Raw genomic sequence first — 12,074 nt, forward strand, 5'->3', positions numbered from 1 at the left:
GATGCCTCTAACTCTCATTTATTTCAAGGCATTTCATAATTATTGAATTAAAGTTGACAGGTTGCCACAATAAATGAAAGATGTTATTAAGCACATAACGATAAGCCCTGGTTATTCACTTGTATCCTTATTTAAGAAAAAAAAAAAGATTTAGCCATGACATTGTAGTAACCTCTACTTTAAAAAAAAGGCTGAAATTATTTACTAAGATTAAAACAAGTATTGAAAGCACTTCCAAATTAAAATTTTACTTTGAAGGGATCCAACTAGTCAAATTTGGGACAATTTGAACTTCAGAAAGAATCTATCATTCCATAATGGTACTTTAAAAAACTAACAAGAAGGTTGAAAACAAAACTTCTTCTTATGGAAAAATGCTAGCTAATATACATAAAAGGAACGATAGGATCAGAAAAGTCATAATTTTGCAGACTCCATAACAGTAATAGATTTAGTCAAGGCTCATTAGTATATGCTGAAAGTATTAAGTGAAAGATTTTGGAGAATACATTATTCACAAAATCTGGTGTTACAGATTACATATTAATTTTATATATCAATTTTAATTTAATGTTATAGTATCACAGATTACATATTAATTACAAAGGGAGAAAGAGACCTTTACAGTGGAAACATCTCATGGACACCACTTAACCAAGTGATTAAACTTACCGTCATTTCTAGTGGGAAGAGCTGACATCATGTACCTCTTGAAGTGATGCGGTAAAAAAGCATACAGCATCACCACCTATGTATTTTTCTTGCCAAAAATGTTTAACCTGAATCTAATCAAGAGGAAGTAATCAGACAAATCCAGATTATGTAGAACATTTTACAAGATAACTGACCTGAACTCTTCAAATATCAGTATCATAAGGGCCAAAACAAAAAAACCAAAAACACAAAAAAACAAAAAGACGAGGATAGGTCCAGATTAAAGTTGACTAAAACATGACAACTAAATACAATGTTTAATACTTACTGGAATTCTGGATCCAAAAACATGTATTATAAACACAAAATAGCCTAAAGGATATTCTTGGAATAATTGGAGAAATCTGAATCTATACTGTATATTAGAAGATATTATCAAAGTTAAATTTCTTGTGCTAATAGGATTGTGATTAGACAGGCGACCCTCCTAGTTTTTGGAAAATACATGCCAAAGTAGTTAGGGTCGTGTCATGTCTACAACTTACCCTCAAGTAGGTGAGTCAAAATAATAAAGATACAGATTAAGATAAAAGAGAGATAAGGCAAATGAATTGAAATGATCATTGTACTGCCTTTTCAGTAAATTTGTCTTTTTTTTTTTTTTAAGATAGGGTTTTATTCTATTTCCCAGCTGGAGTACAGTGGCACATTCATAGCTCACTGCAGCACTCCAACTCCTGCACTTATGTCATCCTCCTCCCACCTCAGCCTCCAGAGTGGCTGGGATTACAGGCACCAGACACCATGCCCAGCTATTTTTTTTTTAAATTTTTTTATAGAGAGGAGGTCTTGTTATGTTGCCAGGGCTAATCTCGAACTCCTGGCCTCAAGCAAGCCTCCTGTCTCAGCCTCCCAAAGTGCTGGGAGTACAGGCATGAGCCATCATGCCTAGTCTCTTTTTTTCAAAACATAAATTGTAGGGGGAAAATTGGCTCTTAAGATTCAGAACTAATTTAGGAAGTCACTGTTCTGTATATGTATATGTATATGTTCTGTATATGTTATTTGATGATTTTTTTTCTTAAAAATATATGCTTAATAAGAACAAAAGTAGGACAAATGAGAAGAGAAAATATTACAATCTAAATGATTTTATTTTTAAGTAAAAGATTGAGGTTATAGTTTTTTTCTTTTTTCTTCTTTTCTTTTTTGTCAGTTTAAAGCTTTACCTATTTTATGTTTTCTCCTTTCTGCCTACCACCAAATTTGTTTTTGAATTTTAATCATGTGACGGCTTTTAGTTGACTGACATGTTTGAGGTCAGCCTATTTGGTGATCTCAGCTTTTCTCTGGGAATGAAGGACTCCAAAGGGAGCAAGAAACTAGACATAGGTTTGGCATGCCCTGCTGAATTAGTGACAATATTTTCATGGAATGTTCTTTCAAAAGTAGAGGCTGTGTATGAAAGGTTTCCCTCATGAGATTACAGCAATTTAAAGGTCATTCAATTCTACAGACCGCTTAATTGTGCCCCATTAAGCATTTCTCAAAAAGAAGTATGTGTGTTTTAATAGCATTCAAGGACTGCCAATATCAGCATTGTCTAACTTAGAAAGATTATTTTTTTCATGGCTTTTATCACTGACCCGGTGTATAATGCACTGACTTTCCTTTTTTATTGCTCAAGGGCAGCTGGATGAGTAGCCTTGGCTCATTTAGAAACCATCTAATGCTTTTGTTCTCAGTTAATATTTTCTTTAAAGGTCACCTACCTCTGACACCTGTCAGGTTAGTACTTCTCAAAATCGGAAATAGGACCTTTTCTTGATCAAGTACAGCCAATGCAATGTCTGAAGATTGGCCAGCAGTTTTGAACAAATAGCAGATGAACAGATTGCTCTTTGAGCTGTCATTTTATACCCAGGATCTTTATGGAGATTTTTTTGCCAACCAGGTACCAGAGAGGAATGTGGAAAGAGTAGACTAAATAACAGGGTAGAGAGCTCTGTGTTTCCTTTCCAAACTTGAGAGAGAATGCACAAAGGCACCACTCACTCCTTAAAATGTCTGTGAGGGGTAGAGAAGGTCATTAAGTGAAAATGTGAATTTAAAAAATCAGGTCCCAAATAAAGAACAAATAAACAAAATAAATCCAAACCAATTTAAGATAAAAACTTCCAAACTAGACCATAAAGCAAAATTTATGGGAATTATAAATATGATGACAGTGTTCTGGAAAAATTCTTTTTACTGTAAGAGCAAAGCATTCAGAGACTGGTTTTGATTTTTATTCAGTAATCCCAATGTGGAAGCTGTAATTGTATATAACAGTCCATGTAGTTTCTCAATTCATTAGTTGTTATACTGTGGTTCTTACCCAAGTTGTGGTACTCTGTAAACAAAAGCCACCAGAAGTGTCTTTTGGAGATGTCAGACCTCCTAACCTTTCCTTCAATCAAGGCCTTTAATTCTCTTATACAACCCTATATTTAAAACTATGTACTGGTCTTGCTGTATCCCAGACGTTTTGATTAGAGAGCTAACGCAATGGTCTGACTTCAAGCCAAAACTAAAGTTGAACCTTAAGGCAGTGATCATATGCACATGGCAGGAAAAAGATATAAACGCAGTTTCCAGGTCATAATGCAAAATATTCCAAGTCATTTTGTCTTCCTTGACTCAACAACATGGTACAGATTTTTTAGTGAGACACTCAAGGCTTTGATTTTTATTTTATTTTGGAGAGAATGGGAAGAAGTTGTAATTATTCTAATTAAAATGGCAATAACCATATTAGTGGATGAAATTGTTTATTGATTCTATTGATATAACATATTCAACAAATACAAAACAGAAAAGAATAACTAGTTTCCCTAACATTATAGATGTATTTCACAAATATTACTGTATACCTATTATGTATAAAGCACAAAAAACTAAATTCTGCAACTTGAAATAGAATTCAACAGAAAGTTAATTTGGATGGAGCCATATTGGTTAAAGGAAAGAGATAAATGTAAGAAAAGGCTGGGTACCGTGGCTCATGCCTCTATTTCCAATAGTTTTGGAACTATTCCCAACTACTCAGGAGGCTGAGGCAGGAGGATCCCTTGAACCCAGGAGTTCGAGGACAGCCTGGGCAACGTAGTAAGACTCCATCTCTAGAAAAAAAAAGAAGTAAAAAGGCACAGGTAAGAAAGACTTCAAAGTATGTAGAGAAATAAGAAAATCTGTTAAAAGGCAATGTTGAAAAACTTGCAAGTACTTAGTTTTTGAGTTTTGATCTGTTTCCTAGCATAAGTCTACTCATTAAATAATGAGAAACAATATGAATAAAATAATATAGGCACAGTTTGAATTTAATAACAATTTAGAAATGGAGAAGCAAGGGCATTTGTCATTACACAGGATTCTGTCATTACTAATGAATTTTGTCAAGGTTAAGGTACACCAATCCTCATTTTTCCAGTTGGGATAAATCAGAACATTCCTGATTCTGGTTTTACCATAGCAGGAGTCTTTAGCTTCATTCTTTTCCCCTCCACTCCAGTATTTTATCATATTGGTTGTTTTGAAACGCTGCTTTGTGTTTCATGGGTTGAAATTCTGAAAAATTAGATCTGAAGGTAATTGCTGAGGCTTTATGATTTAATTTTACATGTTTGGAGACGAGTTCATTGAACTTACAAGCAGATAAATGAAAAATGCTACAAAATGGCATTAAATCAGTCTTAGCATTTTTTTCCTTTTAAAATATTGACCTAAATATATATTGGCTAAACTTCTCCTTAATGTCAAAGATAAAATGATTGAACTCTCGGGTATAAGCAAGCCCACTTGGCAAAACTGGGGAGCAGAAGTAATTCTGAGCCAAGCACATGTCTCAAAAAGGAAGTTCTTTGACACGAGAGGTTGTCTCCAACTGGCAGAGTTCAGGAATAGCAGACTTGCCCAAAATAACAATTTTGAGCCATCTTACTCTATTGTAGAAATAGAAAAAAAATCATTTCAAAATAATTTTTCATTAAGCTAATAGTAGAAAATGTATTTAACTTAAGAATAAAGATGGCCCAAAGTAGCTGTTAAGTCAAAGGTAAAAACAACAATATTTTTAGAACCCCAAAATCAGTTTTCATGTTTGTTTGCTTTTTCTTTCAGTGAATACATATAGTTTTCTAAGTACTCATTCTCTCTCAGATAATAAAACTAAAAGCCTGGCCTTTTTGAGTCATGAAAGTTCTCATCTACTAGTCACTTAAAAGCCATTTTTAGAAAAGAATGTGTTTTGCAAAGAATAAAACCATAATAAATGGAGGACATATACAAGAAGGGGGAGGGAGAGAATTAGTTATAGACTATGATTGTTTACTAAGTAAAAAAGTCTCTACATGACACAAAATTATCTTTGAGAACATGAAGTAGTAATTGCAAAATTATGTCACGCTGAAATTACCTAAAATTATTCTGGCAAGACACATAAACATGTAAAACACCAGTCGCCTTTATCTGCAAGGTTTAAAAGAAATGTGTTTATGAATAAAATTCCATGGCTAAGACAAAGGATATGAGGTGGTGGCTGGAGAACTGAATTGAACCTATATCCTATAGTGTTTGAACTGAACAAAATTTTTGGCTTATTTATTTGTTTAAGGTAGTGGATAATATGTCAAGTTTGGAAAATGTTACATAAAAATTCGAATTCCCTGCTTCTCCTGGGGAAAAAGTAAATCAGAAATCTGGCCACCCAGGGCTTACCTATCCAGAAGACTCAGCTGAAGCGGAGTTCAGGCTACCCCCTTAGACTAGGTACTCCTCCTCTAGTTGTCCACAGTTCTGATTTCCCCAATTTACTCATTTACTCAAGCAGCCCAGCTCTTGAGGCCCTTTCTGTGGTAGTGAAGATAATCTCATCCTTAGGGTCCTGTTGTTGATATAGAACAGATGTGGGTAATGTATGGTGGGCGAACTGTGGCCAGGAAGTCGAGTCAGACTCTAAGTCTGTTAAAGAAAAACTTTTACATCTTTGAATAGTTGAATACAATTTTTAAAAGGATATTTCATGACAAGTGAAAATTATTTTAAAATTCATATTTCAGAGCCTATAAATAAAGTTTTATTGAAACATAACAAAGGTCGTTAGTTTTCATATATCTATGGCTGCTTTTGTGCTACAAGGATAGAATAGAGTGGTTGCGACAGAGACCACATGGCCCACAAAGCCTAAAATGCTTATCCTTTTCAAAGAAAAAAAATTATTCAATGATACCTATTAAAGCACAATAAGGAAGACTTTACTCAGCATCATTGAGACAGGTACAGGAACCACTACAACAGAGCCTGGCAGTGGAGGCGGAAACTGGGTTCAACTCCAGATACATGGGCAAGTGGAAATTCGTAGTCGAGGAGCAGGGTGTGGTTGGATGGAAATCACTAAGAGGAAACATCAGGGGCAAAAGTGAGTCTGGCTAAACCGACCTAACAGGATTTTTGTTGAAGGCAGGCCAGGGTGACCAGACATCACCTGGAGGATGGTGGAGGATGAGAAGCCTGATCAGATATTGAGATGGTCAGATTCCAAGGGTAGGGGTTCTTGCTAAAACTGAGTTTAATTAGGAAGTGCACAAATGGGCCTAGGAGAAGGTTCAGCAGACTGACTAAAGTTTGGCCAAGCAAAAAATCTTTGTCAGTATCTGGCCTTTATGGGAAAAGTTTGCTGACCCAATCTAGAACAGTGTTGTTCAAAGGTAATATAATGTGAGGCACGTATATAATTTTAGATGTTCTAGTAGCCATATTTTTAAAAAGCAAGATGATAAAATTAGTTTTAATAATGTATTTTGTTTAACCCAATATAACCAAAATATCATTTCAATTGAAATTAATTTAAAAATTATTATTGCTATCTTTTACATTCCTTTTCATTCTGCCTTTGAAATTCAGTGTGTATATACTTGCAGTTGTGAAAGTTATCAGTATGAAAATGGAGTCACTAATATAAAACCCTAACTTAATGGAGCGGGGATGCCGTGAAGGAGGGGTCCTCACACATGTATGCCTATAATGGGAACTATGCAAGGAATTCCTCGAAACTGCAGTAACCTGATTTCACAAGGACCCTTGCCTAACAATGGCTATTTCCACCAATAAGCTAACAACTCCAGCAACACGACCCTGTAATCAATGGTCTTTGTTTCAAAATGACTTATATGGACATTTATTTTGCCTTTAAAAGCTTCCCCTTTGCCCCAATTCTCTTGGATGCACCTATGTTTTTCATAGCACATGTATCCCTCATTGCAATCCCTTGCTACTCCTGAATGAACTCTTTGCTTTGTAGAGTTGGTCTCTCACTGATTTTAGGTTGCCACAGTGTATCTCCAATAGGATTAGCCACCTTTCAAGGGCTCAATAGCTAAGATGGTGCTAGCATGTTGGAAGGACATCACAGATTTAGAATTTAAGAATATTAGACGGCAATAATTTAGCAAATAAATTAAATAAATTATGATTTCTTACACAATAAAGAACTCAGAGGTGTAGGAAAAAGAATAGGAACAAAGTCCCAAAGACTTCTAGGCTTAAGGGTGAAAGAGGGTTGGGGTGGGGAAAGTGAAAGTGGGCTATGAGAGATAAGGCTGCCTAGCTGAATAGACTAGCCAATGGGAGAAGAAGAGAGGATTTTTAAGAAGTATTGGAGGTCTGTGAGTCCTTTTCATGAGGTTCAAAGAAAACCTAAAGGTCTTGGTATTTAAAAATATTTATGTTCACATAGCATTCATTTCTTGTCAAAAGAACTGCTCTGGATTTGAACCACAAGGGATTCAAAAACTTTTTTTTTTTTAAAGCTTCAGACTATTAACAAATATTTTAAAGTAGGAGGCTTTTAGTCAAAAGGTTGTAGGCTGGGAGATACATCTGTGATCCAAAGCTTTCTCATTTCCATAGAACATGGCCTGAATACTTCTTGCCTTCTCTAGGACTGCCCATACCCCTGCTTTGAAGGAGGGATGGCTAATCTGATGGGTGAGGGTCTGACATTCATTGAGTCTTTCACTTCTGGTGAAAGTTTCCAGTAATTAATAGCCACCGGCCCAAGATCTCTTTTCCCTCCACACTGTCAGCTGCAACACAGGCTCTGCTTTTGCATACCCTCTCTGGTGGCAACAGACATATAATTCCAATACAATACAGTCATTGTTAAACAGGGCTCTGATCAAGGTAGAGTAAGAGCAGAAAGGAAAGAGGTGCAGGGTTTGGAGGAACTCGTTCACAATTGGACATCCTCCTTTACTATCCACATCACTTTTTAGTCATGCTATTTTGTAGTTCAACATTACTATGGTGAAGTTATTTTGAGTATGTATTGTTTTATGTGAAAATTAGATGGTAAAAACTCACTTAAACAGTATATACATATAAATGTGTAGATAAATAAGAATTCACTTTTGTAAACCCCTAAGATAATGGCAAAAATTAAAAACATTGCTTGGACAATGCGATTATGCCCAGAAAAAAACCGTGTCTTCCATAAGTTTTTGATTTAACACACACTTATATATGTCAGACACTGTTGTAAGCACTTTACAAATATTAACTCTTATTCCAACAATACCTCCATAATGCTGGAATACTTTTACTTCCATTTGAGACCTGAGCTAGTAAGTAGCAATGTTCTGGGGTGACCACTGTCCTTGTTTTAGTACTGACAAGTCCTGCATCCTTATAGAACTCCTCAGTCCCAGCACAACCAGCATGGTTGGTCATCCTAAAATTCAAACCCTGGCAATCTAATTCCATACTCCAGGCTATTAACATGTTTTCTCTCTTATAACAGTGCAGGGATAACTCTAGTAAATATAGAAACACCATGTGTAGAAATGGACCAAACAAAAGCAACCCTGAAATCTGGGCCTGCTACAAGATGCTCTACTTATAGACGCTACAAGTAGAAATTCACCTTCAACTCACCTAGTCTCCCAATAAACACTCTGGAATGTACTAGGGTTGATTTGCATCAGTTGCTTGCAGCTGGAGAGCTGCAAGGCAATTGCAGAATCTTCAGAAAGGCAGAGGGAGGAGCAGGGGGATTGGAAATCCTCTGATAAAATGGCTTAGAAGATGACTCACTCTTCCTAAGTAGGACCCAGTGGCGAACTTGAAAAGTCTGTAAATCCAACTGGGAGTACTTTATGTTGTTTTCTGCTTTGTCTGACTGTTTCTGTACATTTATATATTCATGGCTATTAAATAAACTTCCGTTGTCTGTGTCTTTTGGCCTTTTCCTTTCAATCACAGTAACAGCCTTGTTGTGACAGCACCACACTAAGAAGACTCTGTCAAGGCAGGGAGCCCAGAGGACAGAGAAAATGGCTGGGTTGTCCCATGGGCAGATGTGAAAAATACCCTAAAACCTCCTTCATGTGGTGAAGGATGCAAGTAAAAGATAGGAAATATATCAGCAGGGCCTTTGAGTCTAAGCTTATGCAATCACCTCTCAAATCACTTGCTTTTCTCTTCCACCTTGGCATTCCAGGAGGAGCATCACTACTCTCCACCTGTCTTCTTCTTTGGCCAATAGTAGGTAAAAAAAGAGCCAACAACAGAGTAGGATTCCTCTCCCCCCAATTCATATCTCGCTTCTCCTATAAAAAGACATAGAGAGAGGAAGAAACAATAAATACTATTTAAATAAATGATTGTGCTTGGTTTCTTCCACCTAGATTTTGTGTAGAACTACTTGCTGTGAGAAAGTAAAAAAAAAAAAAAAAAAAAAAAAAGCCTAATTGAGATTTGCATATTCAAATACAAGACAAGGAAAATGCACCCAATCTGAGATGGGAGCTTAGAGAAAGAATAACTGAGGCATTAACACTTGAGATGATACTGGAGGGTAAGAGTTTATCACAAGGATGAGGAGAGGGTGTCACAAGGATGAGAATGAAATTGGGAGCAAACATTTAACAGATATTCTTCCTTCAGCCTGGAAAGACACTAGGAAGGGTGGGGGTGGGGGGGCACTGAGAAAGGAGAAGGTATGGCAAGCTCAGTAGCTATACTTATTCTAAGGTCTGACTGAAGGAAAGTGTTGGGAGATGAGGAATCTCCTCAGAAAGGGTATTCTGTTCATGCTCAACAGATTAAGAGTTTTCTATGCCTGACAAGAAACCACTGAAAAAATTTGAGCAGAGGTATGATATAATCAGATCACAGTATGAGAATATTTGTCACAGTCCTCAGGAACGTGCCATGCAAAGCCATGGTTACTGGCAAACTAGTTATTAAATGGACCAGAAAAAGAAAAACAAAACATTGAAGAGCTCTTCAAAAGGGAATATGAAACCAATGAAAACGATGAAAATATTTAAATATATGAAACAACATAAGTCAAAAAATGTTAAGGCTGGGTGCAGTGGCTAATGTCTATAATCTCAGCAGTTTGGGAGGCTGAGGTGGAAAGATTGCTTGAGGCCAGAAATTAGAGACCGCCCTGGGAAACACAGAGAAACCCCGTCTCTACAAGGAATTTTTTTTCTTTTAATTAGCTGGGCATGGTGGTGTGCACGTGTAGTCCCAGGTACTCGGGAAGCTGAAGTGGGAGGATTGCTTGAGTCCAGGAGTTTGAGGTTACAGTGGGCTATGATAGTGCCACTGCACTCCAGCCTGGGTAACTGAATGAGACCTTGTCTCTAAAACTAAAAAGCAATAAATAAATAATAAATAAATCAATAAATAAATAAAAAGAGAAAATAAAGATTTTAAACTATGTAAGCTAAAAATGTACTTAAGGATGAAGAAGAGATAGTTCACAGAATGAACAAATTCTTGACCTCAATACTGATCCAGTAAGGATCAGGGAGCATGCATTTTCCAAACTGTCTCCAACAATAGCAAATAATGGTCAATGGCTGGATATTCTAAACCAATGTAAAGTAATGTATAGAAAAGTCATAAGGACTGGCTTTTGGTCTCTGATTGCCTCACTAAATAGCACTTTATTTTGTTTTTTATTTTAAAAAGTAGAATGAGATTTGTTTTAATCCTTAGCATATATGTTTATTGGGCTTTCTGCAGGTTATTGACTTTTTTTTAGAGACAATCTCACTCTATCCCCCAGGCTGGAATGCAGTGCTGTGATCATGGCTCACTGCAGCCTTGAACTCCTGGGCTCAAGTGATCCTCCCACCTCAGCCTCCCAAATAGCTGCCACTGCAGGTGCATGCCACCACACTCAGCTAATTTTTTAAAAAGATTTTTGTAGAGATAGGGTCTTACTATGTTGCCCAGCCTGATAGGTTTTTATTTATTTATTTACTTATTTATTGTCATAGGGTCTCACTATGTCACCCAGGCTGATGTACAGTGACATAATCATGGCTCACTGCAGCGTCAACCTCCTGGGCTCAAGTGATCCTCCCAACTCAGCCTCCTGAGTAGCTGGGACTACAGCCATGCACCACCACACCTGACAAATTTTTGTATTTTTTGTAAAGACAGGGTTTTGCCACGTTGCCCAGGCTGGTCCCAAACTCCTGAGCTCAAGCGATCTACCTGTCCCAGCCTCCCAAAGTGCTGAGATTACAGGTGTGAGCCACAGCTCCCAGCTCCAGGCTGGCAGGTTATTGACTTAAAATTTCAATTTTTACATTCTTTCCTAATGTTTCATCACAGTTTATTTTCTAAAACTGATATTCTATATATGGTTTTATTTAGTTTAATACTTGTTCATTGAGAAATATTTCTTGAATGCCTATTTTTTTTTCCTTAGGCCCTAAGGAACCAATAATTAATAAAGACAGATGGACAAATCTGGCTGCTGTCTTTATGGAGTTTACAGTCTAGTGGAAAGCAAACAATTATAATGTTATATGTGTAAAGAACATGACAGAAACTCAGCTTGCCTACCCAATATTTATTCGCCACATCTTTCTTGTGAAGAGAATCCCAGCTTAGTTAGGGGTAAGCAACATGCCCAATTGTAGCAGATTGTATTTCCCCAAAATGGCCACAGTAATATTTTGTTTTTTGTTTTTTTTGTTTTTGAGATGGAATCTCAGTCTTGTCGCTCAGGCTGGGGTGCAGTGGCACGATCTCGGCTCACTGCAACCTCCGCCTCCCAGGTTCAAGCTATTCTCCCGCCTCAGCCTCCTGAAGTAGTTGGGATTACAGGCATGCGCCACTACATCTGGCTAATTTTTGTATTTTTTCAGTAGAGACGGGGTTTCACCATGTTGGCCAGGCTGGTCTCAAATTCCTGACCTCAAATGATCCACCTGCCTCGGCCTCCCAAAGAGCTGGGATTATAGGCGTGAGCCACTGGGCCCAGCCCACAGCAATATTTTGGTCCACTTGCTCTTCCATACCTCGCCACCCCCAGATCAAGTTGTAAAATCGACTTCTCTTCCCCTTTAACCAGGCAGACC

This window comes from Homo sapiens, chromosome 9, assembly GCF_000001405.40.
Source record: "Homo sapiens chromosome 9, GRCh38.p14 Primary Assembly".
Taxonomy (NCBI): domain Eukaryota; kingdom Metazoa; phylum Chordata; class Mammalia; order Primates; family Hominidae; genus Homo; species Homo sapiens.